Genomic DNA, 23030 nt, shown 5'->3' on the forward strand with positions numbered 1-23030 from the left:
GCTTAACAGAGCCAATTTTTATACAGCTTCCGCAATTCACCCAAGTTAGCTCATGTCGCCAGATTCTGTCCTTCCAGATTGATGTGTTTAATAGCATCTGTCAGCAATGGTTGCAGAGTAGCATTTTAATAGTTCCCACAGATTTTCATCAGAATATGCTGTACTCCAATCACAGTGCCAATGACAACTCCCCAGTTGGCATTGCAAACACTGTCTTTAGCAGAGGTGGCCATGCTGCAGGCATTTGAGAGATACTGACAGTTGCAGCAGTTGGAGGTTGGTTAACAAATGAAGCACCGAAGATGGTGTTTATGTGGCTGTGTGTACCCAAGTAGTGATTTATGTTATTTTCAGCAGAGATGCAAACTCTGTAGTTAAAGCAAGCTGCCTCTTTCTGGAATAGTGAATGTGTTAGGTAACAAAAGCATAGGAGAGTCTGGACTTTTAGGCAAATTAAAAGTCTAAAAGCTTCTTGCACAAGAGACAAATTGGAAGGTAATTAATTATACAAAATGAGGATTCACCATGGAGTTTCTTCAAACATCCAGTTTCCCTTGTTACTTAAAGTATTTAATTAAAATTCATTACCCACAACATCTCTTACATAAAGCATGGCTCCCCACATTGATTTCAACTGATTTAGTTCATTATGAGGAACACTTTTTGCAGAGGGTATTCATTCCTACAAAATTAATAGGTTACCTTAATAACATCTGAACTGGAAATAAGATTTATCCCAGCTTAGCTTTATGCTATTCATATTTTGGTGTGAGCTACAAGCATGCATGTGTTACACTAATCTCCCAATAATTGACTTCCCTTCTCTAGCCCCCTTTCTTTATTCAGGGAAAGAATGAATACACAGTTCCTACTCCCCTCGGATTGCCTGCCTATCTTTGACAATATATCAGGACTTAGGAAACATTCCATAAGAAAATAAAACCCGAAGGCTCTCCTGGAGTCTCTGGTGATAAGTTAGGTCCTGTCTACATTGTGGTTCCATCAACAGCCTCCTTCCTCCACCCAATCCTAGTTTTAAAAATGACCACACAACATAGAGTGTCCCTGACGGGAAAGAGCGTTAATTGTCAGAGGTACTGGGTCTCATAGACGAGAGGCAGCTTACCTAAAGACCCACAAAGCCAGATGGAGACTTCAGAGATCCAAACTCTGCCTCAGTACATCCAGCCTGGTACACTCAAGGGAGCAACCAACTTCATTCTCATTTAGATGTCTGTAAAGGACAATGATCCTCAGATTCTAAGAACTTCATCCCAACACTGTAAGTTTTAAAAGCTGCTATTTAGAAGACAGTTTAGGAGGCAGAAAAGGAGCTGAAAGGCAGATATCATAATTAATTAAAACCTTACATTGGTGCATTACTTAATTACTTACCAGTCCTTTCCTTTCAGCATGCTTGACAAAACAGACCATCTGTGGGGAGAATAGGTGGTAGAAGAGAAAACATGACTATTCCGCTATCAGAGACCTTTATTCAGAGAGGTCAGGTGCAGGAGACATTAAGCATTAAAATCCATGAGGTGTAAATAGGACCAAATTGCAACAGTCAATGGAAAGGTTGTATGAAATATATTAATAAAACAAATGTATATGTTTTTCCAGTATGCCTTCCTCCATATAATTTAGATACCTGGGTTCCTTGCACACAGCAGGCACTCTATACATAGTTGTTGAATTGAACTTAAACAAATAAAAATCTAAAAGATATTTAAGAAGTAAACTAAGCAACGCATAAAATAAATGGTATGATAGAATGCCATTCTAATGAATATGTGCTAGCTTATACCTCAAAGCACTGATAAAGGCAGGCCAGGTTTTCTAAAAACAAAGTGTGGGTCCCTGATTGTTGTTGAGTGCTGCTTCCTCTGCTTCTTCAGCCTCCGGGAGCCATTCAGCCTGATGCGTGTCGTATCATGACTCATTTTGAAAACTGCCCCAGAAGTTTCTGGACTTTTTTTTAATAAGGTGGAAAAACACAATCATATTTATCTGGGTTTTTGTCTTTTTTTTTCCTGGATGCATCTGTGGGTGTGTGCAGCAGCTTGGCTTTCCTGGGCATCAGCTTGGAGAGTACCTCTGGGACACTGACAGGTCCAGCTGCCTCTTGCTTTGTTGAAGGATGTGGGAAGCACTCCATTCCTGACGCTCAGAGCTGATGCCATGAGGAGTAATCATCTTTCTCTGATAGCGGCTGCAAAGCACTTTTAGAAAATCATTAGCAGTTACAAGAGTTGAGAGCCTTTGGGCCCAGGTTCCAATTAGACAGAGGTTAACATAGTAGCCTCATATTGATTGAGCTCTTTGTGTTAGGCATTGTGATTAGCTCTTTACGTGGCCTATCATTTATTTATATTGCAAGTTATGGGAAACCTGATGAACCATGCCTTAGCTCACAAGGTATATAGTGTTTATTTAACAGGAAGTCTGGAGATAGGCATCCTAGGCCTGGCCTGGTGGATCAACAATATCATCAAGGAGAAAGTCTCCTTCTGCCTTTCACTCTCATCATTCTTAGTGGGTTTACTGGCATCCTTGGCTTCACAGGATGGCTGCCACTGTGCTAGACACAGTTGCGTTAAGGACAGGAAGGAGGAGGAAAGAATAGTCACCAAGAGAGTTCCCTTTCTTATATATTGCTTTTATAAAGAGGCAAACACTTTTTCAGATGTCTCATAGCGTATGTTCCATCAATCTCATTTCACAGAACTGCGGCACATAGATGCCCTTAGTTGCAAAGAAGGCTACAAAAGAGCCTTTAGCTTGGAAATGGATTGGAAGTGGCTGTTGGATTAGCCAAGCAATCGTATCTGCCTTAGATGGATTATTTATTTAATTCTTAAAATATCCCTTTGAATGGAGATATTGCTGTTATTTCATGTTAGTAGATGAGGAAGCAGAATGATTAATGAACTTGTCCAAGATCACAAAGCTAATAAGTGGTTTGACCTATAGTTTTAACCATTGCGGGTAGCTGTATGGCTTGGTGTTTAAGAGGGCAAGAGATAATTCAAGGTATACTACTACTTAGTCCAAGGTGTCCTACTTTCTAACTGTGTATCTTGGGATGTTATTTAACCTCTTTGTGCCTCAATTTGCTCTTGTAAGATGGAGATATAATATTTCCCATAGGTTTATTGTAAAGATTAGGTGACTTATTACACATAAAATACCCAGAATATGGCATGTAATAAGCATTAGAAAAGAGTTACTAAGAAGCCATGAAGCAAGCAGCTTTGTTTGTAATAACCCTGAACCAAAAACAGCCTAAATGCTCATCATTTGTAGAATGGGAAAAAATTGAGATATATTCATACAACCAAGTACAATTTATAATGATAAATGATGAGTTAGTAATACACATAGCAACAGAGGTGAGTCTCACAGTGAGTGAAAGAATTGAGGCAAAAGAGAATATATTGCATAATTCCATTTATATGAAGTTCAGATACAGAAAAACCTAATCTGTTGTGTAAAGTCATAATGTTCCATCACAATAAGCATTATCTTTGGAGAGTTAAGTGTTGAGAGGACATGAGGGGGTGTTCCGGGGTGCTGAAAAGGTTCTGTATCTTGATCTTGCTGGCGGTAGCACAGGTATACACATGTAAAAATTCATTGTTTTGTACAATTAAGACGTGTGCATTTTACTGCATGCAAGTTGTATTTCATTTTTAATAGTAAATAGAAATAAATAAAAGAAACCATGAAGTATACCCATTCATGCTGACTGGCATCTTCGGTGAAAACCCTTAGAAGAAAATGGTGGCAGAGAGAAGAGAAAGAGGCACATCAATATTACAGATTATTTGCCTTCTCAGAAAGCCCCTGGTTTCCTCTCCCCCATCAGAGGAAACACCCTCTAAGTTTGAGCTGTTTTCCCAGTTGTGGAGATGTGTTTGCACTGGAACCATCTCTGTCCCCTTCCCCGTTCCCTGGATGGTCAGCAATGAACTCTGGCAGTGAAGCCAACATGAATACAAAGCCTGGTTGCATTTCATGAACATTATCCTATAATCAGTCAAATTGCCTACTGATTCACCGAAAAGAAGGCCAGGATGCATTAGCCTGGGATGCCACTGAGAACTGTCCTTTCAAAGGCAAAGTGCCATGGAGCTGACCACTTAAAGGGCTCCAGCTCTCTGGGGAACAAGGAGTCATGGATGGTGCAATTAGCTGAGGTAGAGACATCAGGAAAAGAAGTGGACAAGTGGCTACAAGAGCATTAGGCTACAAGAGCAGCCTCAGTCATTTGGGCAATTCTAAGCCTAGAAAAGATCCTCTGAAGGAAGAGGTTCCAAATCAAAACAAGGCAATATTTGGGCTTTGTAAAATTCTGATTTTTGCCAGGGGCTGCAGGGTTTGAGAAATGACTTGATAGCAGTTTGTGCTTATAGGAGGTGGGTAGAAGGGTATGCCACCCCTCGACTAGGCAACAGATGTCTGAATTTTACAAACACCCAAACTCAAAGACTTTTTATCTTTTTAGTCCCATGAGAATTTTTTTTTTTTTTAATTTCAGTGAATGATTGAGCAAACAAGAGAAGGATACAGGGAGTAAACTGGTCTCCCAGGCCAGTGTGTGTGACCTGCAGGCACAGGAGTGAGGATAGGAAGGAATGAATCACCACCTTGGCTCTACAGAATCAGAGTGTCTGTCTTTGTTTAAAGCTGGTCACTGGCAGAACATTCAAAGTGATGCCTGAGTTCTCTCCCTCCCTTCCGCTTGGAAATGCCTGAAAATTCTGCCAGAAAAGTGAGGCATAGAGAAGGGAGACTGCCACCAAAGCTGCCCAGGAAGCATGTCCAGGTCAGTCTCCATCTTGGCCTCTGGTGGACCCAGCCGCAGCTTTGGCCTACACTGCCCCAGCAGATCCCTTGTCCCATTAGTCTTGGGTCTGCAGAGGGTTACCCTGGGAGTGGGCTGCAGGGCCCAGGATGGAGCGCAGGCTAAGCCATGGGCACATCTTAATTTGTAAGTTACATATTTAGACATGCTTTGTGTGGGCCTTTGTGTGTACTCTTGCCCTGGATCCCACAAATGTTGGGACTGGGTCTGTGAAAGGAAAGAACCAGAGAACCTGATGTTGTCCTTCGGAAAATCTCCTTCCCACTCCCCACCACCCATGCCCATATCCACCTTCAACCACAAAGTGATGGAAGAGAAGCTGCTTGCCCTCCTGCATTGTCTCTCTTTCTCTCCATGGCCCCACCCTGAGAAACCCCAATACAGGGCATTTGGGATTTCAGACATTCGTTGGCGTCCTTGCTCAGCTCGGCTTCCTTCTGGTGTGACCACTATAGTCCCTCCCATCCTAGAAGCAGTAAGTTTAAGGGACTGACAAAGACAGATGTTGCATCTAAGGAAAAAAAAAAAAAAGAAAAATGGCATATTTTTCTCCCAGGAAGTACAGCATTCTTCACAAATGTTATTCTTTCATTAGAATTCACAGCACCGTGGGGAGCCTGCTGATATGATTAGAACTGATTTTATGGATGGAGAAATTGAGTCATTCACCAGGTCTGCAGGTTGTGATTCAGTGGCTAGAAAACAGAAGCTCTTTCCTCTTTTTGGATTGAATTATGTCTCATTTCCATAAGCAAAATACTCAGGAGAATATGGCTTTCCTACTTCAAGCAAGTATCTTCTTAGACACAGTTTGATGGTTTTGGGGCATACACATTCTGTTTTGACATATGATAGCTTTCAAATACCATATGGTTGGACCACACTCTAATTAGGAATGGTTTTGTAGATGTTAGATGAGCCTTCTGGAGCATTGGGTGCCCTCAGCAGAGCCCACCAAAGACAACTTGGGAAACTGTGTAGGTGCGAAACTTTTGTAGGTCCCTAACAGTGGCTCAACCTAAAACACACTGAAACCTAGCTTTGAAATGTAAATAAATAATTATCATTTTAACATTCTCTCTCTCTCTCTCTCTTAAATACCTGCTGAAATTCAATTCATTCAATGTAAAGATGTTAAAACTAGCCTGTGTTTGCCCCAGCTGATAGGTGGTCACCAAAAGCTGGTGACCTTGGTCTAGATCATGCATAAAGAAAGGAAATCCCTGCAGTCTCCAAAGTAAAAACAAGCAAACAAATATAACAAAAGTCTGTCTGGAGGCCCATCCACAATTTTGTGTTAACAGGTCATTTTCATGGAGCTTGCAGACAAATCACAGGGAGGACACATTTCTGCTATCATGACTCAGCATATAAGCTAGAGAACATTTCTGTTTTCAAAGGGTAGAAAATCCATGTTTCTACTCAATGAATATTTATTGAGCACTTTCTCTGTGCCAGGCACTAAGACACAAAGAACAAGTTTAGTTTTTATTATCAGGGCTCCTAGCCTGAAGGGGTACAAGCCTGGAGAAAGACTATGGCTCAACATGATGTGTGCTGTCATTAGAGTCTGTGTGAAGTGAGGTGGCTGCACACAGGAGGAAGTGTCTATCAAGTTGCAGAATATTTCATAGAGAAGGTAAGGCTCTGGATTTCTCAGAACTGGGATGGCAAGAGGGTAGACATGGAGAGCAGAGTCAGGGTAGAAAGAGCAGCAGTGCAAAGGCAGGGAGGCAGATGGCCATGGGATACTCCAGGAGCTTACAGGGATTCAGACTGACAAGACCGCACTGCTCATGAGGGGTAAACTGGAGAGACTGTGAAAGGTGGCATGTCTTGTGCCAAGGAGCTCAGGTTTTATCCCAAAGACAGTAGGAATCCTGTGATCAGATTAAAGGGAAGGGGAAGGGTTCATACAGTCTAATAACTTTTAAAAAGTCACTTAGTTGCCCACACTAGGGAATGTACTAGAAAAGATAGAAGCAAACTGGTTACCAACTGCCTCCAAGGAGACATGGAGCCCAAACTTCAAAAACACCTTTGCATTTCCCAATTCAATACTATAGAATCATTAAAAAGCTGGTGGTTAAAAGTTAAACAGTGTTGCATTCAAGCTTCAGCTGTACCGTGTGCTAGCAGTGTGACCTTAGGGAAATTACTGAACTTTTCTGAGCTTCTGTCTTATCATCTGTGAAACCGAGATAACAATGGTGCCTACCTCACAGAGGTTATATTTCAATTAAATAAGATGATGTATGTAAAGCGCTCAGTACACTTGTTAATATATGTGTTAAACAGTCCCACTGGCCTTTTCAGCAGTTCACGATGGTGGCCGTAACAGGTGGAGAAACTGGTAGCAATTACTCAGCACACAGACCTTCAGCAGCTGTGTGGCCTCTGCCAGGCGACCACAAGCAATGCTCCCGGCTGACTTGGCAGCAGCAGGAAAGGGCTTGACTGCATTTTGATCAAGTTTCACCAAGTTTGCCAAAGCTTTGCCACATGTTTTCTCACGTGCTTGACAAGCTGAGAGCAGGGAAAGACATGGCCAGGGACAGAAAAAAAGAATAGGTGAGCAACACAGAAAATCAGGCTGTCTGCAACTCTGCCACTGGCCCAGGTTGTTGCTCATGGAATCCAGGAAAAGGTGACAGAGTTCAGGGCACTCACTGCCCATATTCCTGACACCCAGTCAGGTCAGGAGGCACAGAAGGCAGACTCTCTACGCTACAATGCCTCTACCTCCTCTCAGCACCATAAGAACTCACCTGCATGTCCCAACAATCAGCCCCCCACATCCCTCCTAGCAGGTCTAGAAACTGAGGACCAAGCCAAACACTAGCTCTTTTAAATATCAAATGGATGTAAACTATAATAGTGGTCTCCCCATAGAGGACAATACACGTGGAAACATATAGTTTTCTATCCAACCAAGAATCTGGTTTTCTTCAGAGAAACAATCCGTCAGCTATTCTTGCAGCAAAAAAGCTTGAACCTGACCAGACTTCAGGAACCACTGCTATCTGTAAACTTACAAGGAGGAATTCCAGATTGAACTGGTTATCAGGCTTTTAGGCTGCACACATGGGCTAAGTCTAAGAGATGCCCTTCCCTGAATCTGTCCCTTTCATGTCTGTGGGCCTGTCACTGCCCCAGCAGGACACACCATCTCTGGCAATGTCACTGTGTTTTGAAACAATGCTCATTCACCTCTAACTGAGAAAGTAATGGGTTCAGTTTCTTCATCATATCTTCTCAAGGAAATACTAATACTAATTATTTTCTTCAAAGAAAAGTGGCTGTGTTTTGGGTGGGAAGGTGTATGGAGGCATGACTTTTTAATTTTTTTTTATTATACTTTAAGTTGTAGGGTACATGTGCACAACTTGCAGGTTTGTTACATATGTATACATGTGCCATGTTGGTGTGCTGCACCCATTAACTTGTCATTTACATTAGGTATATCTCCTAATGCTATCCGTCCCCCCTCCCCCCACCCTACGGCAGGCCCCGGTGTGTGATGTTCCCCATCCCTTGTCCAAGTGTTCTGATTGTTCAATTCCCACCTATGAGTGAGAACATGTGGAGTTTGGTTTTCTTTCTTCGTGATAGTTTGCTGAGAATGATGGTTTCCAGCTTCATCCATGTCCCTACAAAGGACATGAACTCATCTTTTTTTATGGCTGCATAGTATTCCATGGTGTATCTGTGCCACATTTTCTTAATCCAGTCTATCATTGATGGACATTTGGGTTGGTTCCAAGTCTTTGCTATTGTGAATAGTGCCACAATAAATATACATGTGCATGTGTCTTTATAGCAGCATGATTTATAATCCTTTGGGTACATACCCAGTAATGGGATGGCTGGGTCAAATAGTATTTCCAGTTCTAGATCCTTGAGGAATCGCCACACTGTCTTCCACAATGGTTGAACTTAAATGTTAGACCTAAAACCATAAAAACCCTAGAAGAAAACCTAGGCAATACCATTCAGGACATAGGCAGGGGCAAGAACTTCATGACTAAAACACCAAAAGCAATGGCAACAAAAGCCAAAATTGACAAATGGGATCTAATTAAACTAAAGAGCTTCTGCACAACAAAAGAAACTACCATCAGAGTGAACAGGCAACCTACATAATGGGAGAAAATTTTTGCGATCTACCCATCTGACAAAGGGCTAATATCCAGAATCTACAAAGAACTTAAATAAATTTACAAGAAAAAATCAAGCAACCCCATCAAAAAGTGGGCGAAGGATATGAACAGACACTTCTCAAAAGAAGACATTTATGCAGCCAACAGACACAGGAAAAAATGCTCATCATCACTGGCCATGAGAGAAATGCAAAACAAAACCACAATGAGATACCATCTCACACCAGTTAGAATGGTGATCATTAAAAAGTCAGGAAACAACAGGTGCTGGAGAGGATGTGGAGAAATAGGAACACTTTTACACTGTTAGTGGGACTGTAGACATTTTTTTAACTTCTTCAGCTGCCCAGTCTCACATGCGCTCCTCATTGCATTCTCTGTAGTAGTGGTTGCTAAAGTAAGTTCCACCAGCCTTTTTGAGGCTGGGACACAGGGTATCAGTGGGGGTCACAGGGCAGGAGTTCTAGTTCTGACTCTGTTGCTGCACAGTTCTTTCCAGGTAGACACTGTCCAATTCTTCCTCTTAGTGTAAGGTCAGTTACACCACTTCCTCTCTCTGTGTCTGCTCCCTCATTTATCAAATTAAGGGTTAAACTCACTCATTATTTAGGCCCTCCCTAGCTCTAAAATTTCCTTGAAATCCTGAGAAAGGCTACATTCTTACTGGTTTGACTTATGCAGTTTCGTATTCCTGCAGAGACACGAGTTCTACACTGATTCTGAATGTTGAAGCTTTAGCCCCCAGTGTGATGGTATTTGAGGATGGGGCCTCTAGGTGGTAATTAAAGTTAGATGAGATCATGTGGGTGGGGCCCTTATGATGGAATTAGTGCCCTTATAAGAAGGGACATTAAAGAACTTACTCTCTGTCTTCACTCGCATGCCATGTGAGGAAAGGTCACGTGAGGACACAGATAGAAGGCGATCATCTTCAAGCCAGGGGGTGGGCCCTCACCAGAAACTGAATCAGACAGCACTTTGATCTTGAGCTTCCTAGCCTTTACAACTGCGAAAATTAAATTTCTGTTGTTTAAGCCACCCAATCTGTGGTATTTAGTTACAGCAGTCCTAGCCGACTAAGACAGCAAGCATTCTCTACGATCATCATGGTGCCTTAGCCCTGGCTATCTTTGTATTGGAAATAGACCTACCCCAGGAGTCAGTGCATTATGGAATGTACCATCAAATAAGGCAAAGCAGAGGCTTCTAAAGCCTCATTCAAATGAAGATAACCAACATTGTCATACAATTTCATGCATTGTTAGTTTGATAGGAACAGAAATTGCCTGAACTTGGCTGTAAAGTTCTTTAAATAAGTACTCAGTAGATAGCTATGGGAAATGAATGACCACTTCCAGTCCTCTTTGGAAGCAGGCAGGGTAGGAATTGTAAAAGTGTATTAGTAAGATTAAACAAGAAAATGGATATTTCCAGCAACAAAACCAATTCTCAGAGCTTGTCATTTTCAGCACTGTAATGATTTCTATGGTACAGCTTTTAGCTCCACTGGAAACGACAATGCAAGTGTCATTCTGAACATCAGATATCTTAAGTGGTATCTTGTGCATTCTTATTCTTTCAGGACGAATTCAAATGTCATCTCTTCTGTGACTTTTCTAAATGTCATTCGAAAATGGCATTTGTATATTTTTACATTCCATGGTATCAGTACAGAATTTATTAATCTTTCCTCAGAGTTTCCATTACAACTTGGTTTTACTTTTATATAGCACTTATCATCTCATATTACAGGAAGCTGAGTATGAGCTCTCTGAGGGAAAAGCTCAATAAATTCTTGAATGAATGAATGAATGAATGAATTGGTTCTCCTTTGTAGATGACTGATTTCTCATTTATCTCAGGCTTGACAAGACTCTTTGACTCGACTAACAGACTGAGGCTCTCTCTACCTCCATCTGCCTATCTATTACATGATGCTATGAATGGTAAATGGTGTCATTTTTTTTTTTTTGCCCTTGGAATCTTCAATCAGCCATGACAGCTGCCAGAATGCAAAGCCAGTAAGCTCCAAAGGTCATAGATAGGATCCCATGTTTTAATAATATTTGTCCCAACTGTTGTTTTGTCCATATTTCAAAGATTTCTTGATCTGTATTCATTCTAAAACTGTTGACAGTTCACAGCTGCCAAAAGACCACCGTAACAGCATGGAATAGCATGTGGCCTAAGTTGGGAGGTCTGTCCTCCTCTTTACCAGGAAATTAACTCTCCTGAAGCTTATGGCCTTGATGAACTCCTTTTAAATAAAATAAAGCCAATTATTTTGATGACAATCCAAATGTTAAATTCAGAATAAACTCTATAGCACGGCCTTCCATCAGCTCCTGAGTCAGCCAAGTGGCAAATGATGATGTAAGCAGATTTTAGCCTAGTACCTGAATGTTTCCCTTTTGGTCTTTTCTCCCTTCCTCTGACTGGCATCTAGGCCATGTTCTATTCCTTTTGAATATTGATTATGGTTGGCCTTTACCTATTTGACACCTTCAAGGAAATATCCTCAGGGTACATAGAGTTAAATAGTTGAAGACCTAACTAGACATCAGTCATAGGCATATGTTATGTTGGAATTAAAATGAGTGAAGCTGATCTTTAAGCAAGAATCTTGCCCTCAAATAATACCAGGTAGGCAGCCCTCCCTGAGGAAGCCATGATGGATGTGGCCATAACTAAAGTGACATGTGGAAAAGAGTGGAAAGATGTTGGAGTATTCATGAATAAGGTTCTTGGGTTAATTCATTTTTCTACTCTTTCTTCCTTTCTCCCGCAAGTCCTTATTAAGCACTTACCTAATGCTGTCCTAGGCTCAGGGGAAACAGCAATGAGTAAGACCAGGTCACTGTGCCCTCATTGAGCTTTTATTCCAGTAGAAGAGACAATAAATAAGTGAATAAATAAATATGTAATTTCAGGAAAACACTTCTCTTATTGTGAAAGACGAAAATGAGCAAAGGGTATGGCATTTCCTCAAAAAAATTAAGCAAAAAATTACCATATGATTCATTAATTCCACTTCTGGGAATATGCCCAAAAGAACTGACAGCAAGGACTCAAACAGATATTTGTTCACCCACGTTCATGGCAACAATATTCACAGTAGCCCAAAGATGGAAACAGCCCAAGTATCTATCAGTGTATGAACGGATAAACAAAATGTGATACATACATACAGTGGAATATTATTCAGCCTTAAAAAGGAAGTAAATTCTGCCACATGCTATCACATGGATGAAACTTGAAGTCATTTTGCTAAGTGAAATAAGCCAGTCATAAAAGGACAAATATTGTATGATTCTACTTATGTGAGGTACTTAGAGCAATCCAATTCATAGAGACAGTAGAGTGTAGAATGGTTGGTTGTTTTTATGCCATTCCCATGGGGAAAAGGGAGTTGTTTAATAGGCACAGAGTTTGAGTTTGGGAAAATGAAAAAGTTCTGCAGATGAATAATGATGGTTGCACAATATGTATATATAGTTACTGCCATTGAACTGTACACTTAAAATTGGTTGTAATAGTAAAGTGTTAGCATACTTTACCACAATAAAAAATTAAAAAAAATTTTTTTAAATAGACAACAGGCTAGAGTAGAAAAGAATTAGTTAAGGCTTGTCTGGGAAGACTCCTTTGAGGAAGAGGTGACACAATCAAAGTGATGACGAGAACATGAGATTACATAGGGAAGCAATTCTGGATTTTGTTCTAAGTACAACAGAACACCTTTGGAGGGTTTTGATCAGTGAAAGGACATGAGCTGATTTACTGCTATAAAAGATCATGCTGGCTGCTAAGTGGAAAGCACATTAAAAGGGAGGAAACCAGGGGGCTAGAAGACCAATTAAGAGACTATTACAGTTGTGTTTGCATTGCTATAAAGGAATACCTGAGGCCGGGTAATTTATAAAGAAAAGAGGTTTGATTGGCTCATGGTTCTGCAGGCTGTACAAGCACAGCACCAGCATCTACTCAGCTTCTGGTGATGCCCTCATGGAGCTTTACTTATGGTGGAAGGGGAAGTGGGAGCAGGCACATCTCATGGTGAGAATGGGAGCAAGAGAGTGTAGGTGGGAGGTGCCACATGTTTTAAACAGCCAGATCCTGAGAGAACTCACTCACTACCATGAGGACAGCATCAAACCATGAGGGATCAGTCCCTATGACCAAAACAACCCCCACCAGGCCCCACTTCCAACACTGGCATTTACATCTCAACCTGAGATTTGGAGGGCACATCCAAACTAATCAGCAGTCATCGAGGCTAGTGACTATAATGGCTCAGGGGATGTTGAAATAATAGGGGAGATAGTGACAAGTGGTTGAATCAGGATTATATTTGCAAGGTAGACTCATCCTGACTCACTAATGGATTTGATGTGGGATGTGAGGGAAAGAAATACATGAAGGGTGACATCTTGGTTTTTAACTGCGCAACCGGGTGAATGGGGGTCCCATCTACTGAGATGCAAATGACTGGGGGAAATACTAGTCAGGGAATGACAAGGGGGTATGGGGAGGCAATCAAGATATGTGTTACCTAAAAGTGAAACCAGGAACCCCATGTCCAGGAGAGTACTGGCACATAAAAGCCCTTTATTAAATAATCATTGAATGAGTCAATGAATGAAACCAAATGAGTAAGTGCAGGGAAGGAGAAAGGAAGAATGGAAACTAGCTGTAAATTTTACAACATATGAAGGAGTGCATTTGGCAAGTGATATGATGGTAAGGACCTCAGGCTGGAATTTCAGACGACAGGGTTCCAGTCTCAGAAAATATTTCCAAACCTCAGATTTCTCTTTCTAGCTTTTATTCTGGGACCTCTCCCTTTTTCTTTCTCTGCAGGAAATGTGTTCACATATTTATTCATCCCAGCCAGGAGGTCCATATCCCTTATATCCCTGTGCATAAGTGCAGAATGGATAGCCCTCAAGACATGGAACAGCCAGTCAGTGAGCTCCTCAGCTGTGGGATGGAACGAGACTGAAGCCCCCTCCTGCCAGTGACCACACTCATCACCAACCACTCCTTCCCCACTCCCAATGTCCACACTCCCATCGTTCCTACAGGAGCTGTGGAGTTGGCTGCTCGGCAGTCCAGACAAGTTCCCATAAATCAATTCTCCAGGGGGTCTTACTCTCTAAGGACATGATTTTAAGCAAGTTGGGGACAAGATTAGTTCATACCATGCATTGGCTAGTCTTGAGTTGACAGTCCTACTAATTGTTCTTACTGAGTTTCGGGCGAGTTCCTACTGAGATTTGTAGAGAAATTGGTGGGAAGAAAGTCCATTAAAAGTTGCCTTCACAACTGGGGAGGGCACAATGCAAAATGAGAAATACCTGTGAAAATGCTGTAAAACAGCTGTGGGTAAAAGCCTTGCCTCTATTTCACATATTACCGTGTTTTCACATATTAACCACTTTTGTACTGGCTTTTCCACAGGATGGAGGGTACAGAGTCTGCCTACATCAGCTCCTTTGTCTGTTTCTCTTCCGACAAACATTGTACCACCGACCACCATCTGGACTAGCTCTCCACAAAACACTGATGCAGACACTGCCTCCCCATCCAACGGCACTCACAACAACTCGGTGCTCCCAGTTACAGCATCAGCCCCAACATCTCTGCTTCCTAAGAACATTTCCATAGAGTCCAGAGAAGAGGAGATCACCAGCCCAGGTTCGAATTGGGAAGGCACAAACACAGACCCCTCACCTTCTGGGTTCTCGTCAACAAGCGGTGGAGTCCACTTAACAACCACGTTGGAGGAACACAGCTCGGGCACTCCTGAAGCAGGCGTGGCAGCTACACTGTCGCAGTCCGCTGCTGAGCCTCCCACACTCATCTCCCCTCAAGCTCCAGCCTCATCACCCTCATCCCTATCAACCTCACCACCTGAGGTCTTTTCTGCCTCCGTTACTACCAACCATAGCTCCACTGTGACCAGCACCCAACCCACTGGAGCTCCAACTGCACCAGAGTCCCCGACAGAGGAGTCCAGCTCTGACCACACACCCACTTCACATGCCACAGCTGAGCCAGTACCCCAGGAGAAAACACCCCCAACAACTGTGTCAGGCAAAGTGATGTGTGAGCTCATAGACATGGAGACCACCACCACCTTTCCCAGGGTGATCATGCAGGAAGTAGAACATGCATTAAGTTCAGGTGAGTCTCTATCCAGTCCACTAGTTTTCTTTACTACACCCTCACATTAAGAATGCAGTTCAGTGAACCAAACACAATGGAAAATTTGAATTTTGGAGTGTAACACCTAAGTTGAATTATAATTCACAAGAATTTCCACGAGTGCAAACTTTATTTTTAGTCACTTAACAATTTTCATGATTCACTGTGGCCAATTGCACCTTTATGACCTGTTTTCACAAGTCATAATGATGCTACAGGGAATGTAAGCACATGAGACCAGATAGCAAAGGGATTAACAGCATGGCTTTGGCCAAGCTTCCTAGGTTTCAACTCTGGCTCCTGACCTTAGACAAGTTACTTCACCTCTTTGTGCCTGTATTTTTCCACATCTGTAAAATGGGATAAAACAGTTGCTACTGCACACAGTTCTTGTGGAGATTAACTGAAATGACATAAAGCACTTAGAACAGTTCCTGGCAGGGAGTAAATGCTCAGGAAATGTCATTTGTTATTATTATTCTGCTCAGTGTTTTAAAGTAGTGTCTCCCTTTTGGAAACCAGTCAAAGTAGAGTAGGAGTGGAGAAAACTTACTTATTCTTTATAGTCACTGATATATTTCAAGGGAAAGACAATAAATTTTACAAGATGTCACATCTGTTTTTATTTTCCCAATAATTATATGAAGTTAGTATTATTTTTATCTTTGTTTTGTAATCTTGGAAATTATGGTGGAGAGAAATCAAGGGCCCTTTCTGAGGTCACCTGCATCTGACATTGATGTGAAGACTGTACAATTTAGGGTACTGGGCAGGAAGAGTCTTTCATCGGAGCATTTCACCACTTAGCTGAGAAAGAGTGAGATGAGCTCATTTTAGATGAGCCAGAAGTTAGAGGGGGAAATGGAGCTGCAGCCCCTCCCCTGGGTGGTCCTGTGAGAGGTGAAGACTGAGAAGGTCATTTCCAGACAGAACCCTGCATGGTCAGTTGGGGTCAAAGGAATGGCCATCACTGAGGAGAGAATCACAACTTTTAACAAACAATTGATATACATCCATCACGAATGGAAACTGCTTGACAGTGGAGGTAGGAAGAGATAGAACTAAGATTAATGAAGACGTGATTCCTCATGGAAGAGCTCACAATTTAGTAAGGGAAGAAGTCCCAGAGAATTGCACATTTTTATTTCAAAGGCCCAGTATATCATTGAGGATATCAACAAGAAAAAGATAGACACTGAGACTGGGATAAAGGAACTAATGACAAAGGTCTGGCTGGGGAATGGGAGAACCACAGGGGGTCACAATAACAGGGCTGTTACAGGCCAGACCTAGGAGGAAAGGAGGGAGTAGTAACCAGAACCCAGAAGGAGAGGCCCAGTAGAGTTGACCATGCCATCAGGAGCAGTGACTCTTGGCTGAGGGACACAACAATCTCAAGGTTAACCTCCCTGGAGTGAAGGGAATGACTACTCTGCCCTCCCTCTCCCTGCTCCTCTGATATGCAGCAAGAAGCCAAGAACAAGGGGACCCACTGGTGTGGTCCATGCAGGTTGGCCTCCTAGAGGGCTGGTCAGAGAACCACACAGAGAAGGGTGGAGAGTGGATCTGCAGAGGTGAAGGGAGGAAATCTATTGACTCCTCTGTGCAGCCCATCACCCCATTAGCACCTTTTTTATACCTCCAGGCCAGCACTTAAAACATTGAGCTTGAATGTGTATCTTCAGTCTGTCTCTATCCAAACCCCTGCACCCCAGGTTCCCAGCATGAAGGTAACATCTCTGACATTGGTTCCTGGAGCAGAGTTGGTGTTGACTTTGATGCGATATCTTAAGAACCATCTTAAACAAAGGGATCATCAAAATACAGTGACCACATTTTTTTTCTTTCCTATTTCAGGCCCTCACCACCACTTGTCTGTACAACTTTTTCAGTTTTTAACCAGCCACTCTCTCTTCACTTTCTGTCCCCTTCAGGATACTTTAGACCTAGCAGATTGATATTCCTGACCACAAAATCTAAGCTTAGCATACATGAATCTCTAAACTGACACATCTACTCCTTCCTACAAGTACCTTAGTTTTATGGGCTGGGTTATTCAAGACAGTTCTGTTCTAATATCTTGGCTTGATTTTAGGCTCTATGTCTTGATTTCCTCAACTCTAGGCCAGCAGGGTCAAGAGGCCCCAAATTGGTGGCAGTTGGCTCATAAACCTTGAAGTTCATGGGAATATTGCATATAGCAGAAACTCAGAATAAATGACAGAATGCTTAAATGACTGGGGAAGAGAGGTGTGGCCGGTTAGAGGGACATCACTGACCAGTACACATTTCATAGACCAAAGAGTATGTATCCTTATGACCTACTAAATCAAAAAATATTTAGATTGCATTTACCAAGACCCTCTTCTTCATGAAAACAAGTATGAGACCTATCCTTTGAGATTTTATAGTTTAAGTAGAGAGAAAGGACACAGGACAAGTAACTCTTAATATCAGTACTTAGTTTCTAATATGAGAATGAACCTGGTAGGCAGAAGGATCTTTGGGATGATGTGATAGAACCTGTTCACTTCAAAGGTGAAGAAACTGTGTCCCAGAAGTTTGAAGTGCCTCACCCAAGATCACATGGCCCAGTGGCAGCATTGGGCCCTGTGCCCAGGGCCCAGAGCTCTAAGCCAAGTCAAGTCCTCTCTCACCACTCTGAATTGCTGCACTCCTCCTTTATTAGCTAGCAGACCAAGCAACATTCTGTTGGTTTGCGCTTCAGGTTACTATTTTGGGATGCTCTTATTTAGAGATTCTTTATGCTGCCTTTAGTAGTGGCAGTAATAACACCACATTTTGCATAGCATTTTGTCTCATTCTGTGTGGGTTCACGTAGTATGTTTCTATTAATCCAAGGATTCACTCACTCAACAAATATCTAAACACAGTCACCAATGAATAATTCTGAAACAAGGTGAATATTATGGGAGTTAAATTTGACTATAGACCTTAAGAAAGGGCTCCATGATGGAGAGAGCAGGGAGCTGAGTTGCAGAAAATAAAGGAAATTTGAGCCTAAAGAGAGATGAAGGGGATTTGGGCAAAGGGAGTTTCAGGTGCTCATTTACAAAGGCAAGGAACCAAGAGCACGATCATTAAGGGTGGACACACTTGCATTCAGAATCCACGCAGAAGTTGTAAGCACTTAAACTGCTCTTGTTGAATAATCCAGTGCCCTCTACATTGCCAGATCTAAGGGTAAATTCTTAGATCTTTTTTTTGTTTGTTTATCATTTCAACTTTTATTTTAGATCAGTGGGTACATGCACAGGTTTGTTACGTGGGTATATTGCGTGATGCTGAGGTTTGGGGTACAACTGATCCCATCACCCAGGTAGTGATCACAGTACCCAATAGGTAGTTTTTCAGCCCTTCCCCCATTCTGCCTCCCTGCTCTTGTATTCTCTGGTGCTTAGACCTGGTTTGACCTGACCTGCCAGCAGTGTCTGACTCAGATGATCACTGCCCTCATCGTTAAAGCACTGGCTCTGCTCGACGTTCAGAGTGTGCATTTTCACTACCTTCTCTCTCTGCTGTCTCACTTCACTTCCTCATTTTCCTTCATTATCCAGGTCGAGCACCTCAGGCCTCCTTTCTCCCTGATCTCTCCACCGTCACTCCTGCGTGGATGACTCTTGACTTTCATTGTCATCTATGTGCTGATAACACTGAGATGTAAAATTCTCCCCATTTTGCTTCACTGAACTATAGACATGTATAGCCAGCTGTCAGCCAATTCATCATCTCCACTGGGTGGCTCATAGGCATCTCACACTTAATATGTCTAAGGCAAATTATTGATTTCCTCAATTCTCAGCCTGTGCCCCTTGATCATTTCCTGTCTTCTTTCAATTCTTCAGGCCAAAACCCTCAAAGTAATCCTAGACTCCTTTCTTTCTCACATACTGTATATCCTGTCCATGAGATCTGGGCTGATCGCCTCCCGTCCCTCTGTCATCTTTCAAACGTGTCACTTTAATATTCCTGCAACTGATCTCACTATTCACTGCACCCTTGTCGGGCAGATCTTTTCAAAACTCAGAACAGACTCCACTATCCATCCGCTCTCACATTTCAATCACTCCCCGCTCTGAATCAGAGAAAAAGCCAAAGTCTCTACCATGCCTACAAAGCTCAGCAGGTCATAGGACCTCTACCCTCACCTCGTCCACTCTCACCCTCAGACACACTGGCAGTCTTACTGCTTCTTGAACACACTGGAGATACTCCTGTCTCAGGGATTTTGCAGTTACCATCCCCCCTATCTAGAACATTCTCCCTCCAGATCTTCAATGGCTCCCTCCTTTTCATCAGTCAGGATTCTGTTTACCTCTCACCTCCTCAGCAAGCCTTTACTCACTCCCCCATCTGAAATAGTAACCCCCATCACTACTGATCCCTTTCCCTACTTAATTTTTCTTTTTATCGCTTAACCATTTTCTGACATCATCTGATTTATTTGATAAGTTAGTGTCTGTTTTCTGCCACTAGACAGAGTCAGTGTCTGTTTTCATGCCACCATGAAAGCAAGGACCTTGTTTGCAAATAGGAAGATATGGGCTACACCCTGAACCCCTAGAACAGAGCCCAACACATGGTAGACCTTCAATAACATTTGTTGAATACATGAATAAAAGAGCCAATCAACCAATATTAGGGAAGTTATTAGATCTCCCTGAGCCTTGATCCTATCATCAGTAAAATAGGATAGGGATAGTATTCACATAATGCGGTTATTAGAAGGTTCAGGTAAGATAATAAATTTATAGCATATGGCTGTTGAGCAATAGCTCAATCAATGGCTATGGTTGCTACTTTACTATTGTTTACTGTTATTACTATTCTGCTGGTGTGATTATCATTGTTATTATTTTATTTATCATATTGAAGAATGCCCACCATCTTCAACAAATATTTATTGAGCTTCTACTATGAGCCAGGCATCTGGTTAAATACTAGGGTTATAGCCATGAGTAATACAGTCACTTCACTCATGGACATTACAATGTAGTGTGCACATGGCATATGGCATAGTGAGTAACCTAGTTTGGGTCCCAAGCTACATGGAGGGAGACACTGTAGATGTAGGAAGGACGACTTCAGGGCAAGCATTAGAGAACACTAGGGAGCAGCCTAAGACAATTGGTTTACTTTCTAGGCCATTTATAGTCACCAAAGTCTTTTGATCAGGGGAAGAACATATTGAGAATCATATTTTAAAAGTATTCAACTGGTGGGAATATGTATGTCAAGTTGCAGGGAGTTCAGATTTGGAACCATGTATGCCAGTTTATAACTGTTTTCTGGTTTGTCATTGTCATGCACTGATAGTAGGCACGTCACTTAGCTACTCTAACTTAAAAGGCTCTTGGTTGTAAACTGAATACAAGAGAAGCAGTCTCTCAGGTCCTTTTGGCTTTTCATACTATGGTAATTATTTATTACAATTATCCTTTACAGAAGACATGAGGTTCATGGTCGTATGAGGCATACTGAGAATATGTATGTTCCAAGAATTGGGCTAGCGACTGACACAGGTAGCCCTCATCTGATCCTCAGAACGTTCCAGTGGTGTGAGCTCAGCAGTATCTGTTTTACAGGTGACAAAACAAGTCCAGAGAGACTAAGTGACTGACTCAAATTCTCACTTGAGTGACCAGACCAGGATTGAAATCCAGTTCCCCTGACAGACCCAAAGCCAAGTGTTCCTTTCACAATGCCCATCCTACCCGAATTAGTAGAGACACAGAGTTGGGGAAGAACTGATGGGCTTCAGCATTACTGTAGAAATGAGCTAGATGGGCTAGTTGCCAGATGTTGCCAGCTGGGTCCCAGGGGTAGAGCTGCCCAGTGGGAGGGGAAGCAGATGGTGGTAGCAGCCATGCAAAATTGGCTGTGCAGAAGAAGAGTTTTGATTGATTTTCATTTTTTAGCTTTTGTTTGGCTCTTAAAGGAAGAGAGAAAGACGTGATCTGTTAAATTTGGGTCATTTTGTTTTATTAAATCAGATCTCTTCAAGGATGAAAACTATGACTACAGTGTGTGTTTGACTCCCTGAACAACATTGAATGGTGCTATGAACAATTTGGTGCTCAGTACATGCCTGAGGGATTAACTGACATTGCAAAACAAGTAATATTCAAAACATCATCAGTTCTTGCATATGCAAACTTTAAAATTATAGTTACTGTGCTTGTTGCAAAGTAGATACTCTCTTTTGTCTGTAAAATCCACATGTCCACTGGTCTTTCACTATCCTATTATTTTCACCATAAAGAGAAGCACACACAACCGTGAAAATTGGTGAAGACCATTGAACATTAAATTGCTGATCTGAACCCTAGTATTTATCCAGTATGAGCGATGCCAATAAATACATTTAAATAAAGGGCACTAAGTAGGCACAGACATCTAGACATCTCTATGTCCATACCTGCAAGGGACTTTCAGCTCTACAAGACACCCATAAACCTTAGATTTGAAAAAAGAATCAACTTGTAGAAAAGATGAAACAATAATTTTAAAAGTATACCTAGAAAATTTCGCCCGGGCGCGGTGGCTCACGCCTGTAATCCCAGCACTTTGGGAGGCCGAGGCGGGTGGATCATGAGGTCAGGAGATCGAGACCATCCTGGCTAACAAGGTGAAACCCCGTCTCTACTAAAAATACAAAAAATTAGCCGGGCGCGGTGGCGGGCGCCTGTAGTCCCAGCTACTCGGGAGGCTGAGGCAGGAGAATGGCGTGAACCCAGGAAGCGGAGCTTGCAGTGAGCCGAGATTGCGCCACTGCAGTCCGCAGTCCGGCCTGGGCGACAGAACGAGACTCCGTCTCAAAAAAAAAAAAAAAAAAAAAAAAAAAAGAAAATTTCAGAAGCGAAAAATGTATATTGTAGTAAGTTAATGACCATCATGTTTAACTGACATATTAAAAATAGGTTAAAGGGGAAAACAATTATTTAATTAAAAACAAAAACATAGGTGTGAGAAGACCATGTTAAAGAATGGCAAACATTTACTGGTCAGATTCTTTTAAAATGGCCAGAATGTATCAGAAAGCAATAATCCTAACAAGTATGGTATCTTACGCTCAGCTTTACAAATATTAGATCATTGTATATGCCCAGACCTGGTCGTCTTACGGTGAGTGTCACCACCATCTTTTCAGTTCTCTCTCTCCCACTCCCTAACTCCCCTCTGTCACTGAGTACTGTTGATTTTGAACTCTTGGTAGCTCTCAAATTCATCTACTTCTCTTCATTTTTATCTCAGAGCTCCCATAATCCCACCGCAATAGCCTCTCAACTGCCCCTCATTTCCCCCCCCCCGCACCCATCTCCCTACTCCCTGTTGTCCACACAGCAGCCAGAGTGACAGTTAAACACAAATCTGATCAAGGCTCACATAACCTTACTACCACCACCATCTCAGCCCCTGGGGGCACTCCGCTGCTTTTAGGGTGAAGTCCACACACCTTCAGTTTATGTGGGCTCCACTTGTCACCCCAGTGTCATCCCACAACCCTCCCCTCGCTCTCTGCACCACCCACACTGGCTGTCTCTCAGTTCCATGAGCGCCTGTGTCTCCCTCTTGACTTAGGGCCTTGACTCACTTAGACGCTACCTGGGACTTTCTCACAACCCATCACTTCACCTGGTTAATTCCAGCTCATTCCTCAGGTCTCAGATCAAATAGCACCTGCTCAGAAGGTCTCTTATGGAGCCCCCTGTCCAGTGTTGGCCTCCCAGTTACAACTTGTCACAAGTCAATTGCATCTCTTCTTCGCAGCATGT

At 42.3% G+C, this 23030-nt stretch overlaps 1 protein-coding gene across 2 annotated transcripts in view; it reads left to right on the top strand.

Annotated features, from left to right (window-relative positions):
* PARM1 (prostate androgen-regulated mucin-like protein 1) overlaps nt 1–23030 on the top strand; it is a 116998-nt gene that overhangs the window by 64822 nt on the left and 29146 nt on the right. For both annotated transcript variants that reach the window (XM_011531833.1, NM_015393.4), the window contains one exon: nt 14488–15213. In XM_011531833.1, the coding sequence (XP_011530135.1) occupies nt 14488–15213 (726 nt within the window). The remainder of the gene's footprint in view (nt 1–14487; nt 15214–23030) is intronic.

This window comes from Homo sapiens, chromosome 4 (assembly GCF_000001405.40).
Source record: "Homo sapiens chromosome 4, GRCh38.p14 Primary Assembly".
In the NCBI taxonomy this organism is placed as follows: domain Eukaryota; kingdom Metazoa; phylum Chordata; class Mammalia; order Primates; family Hominidae; genus Homo; species Homo sapiens.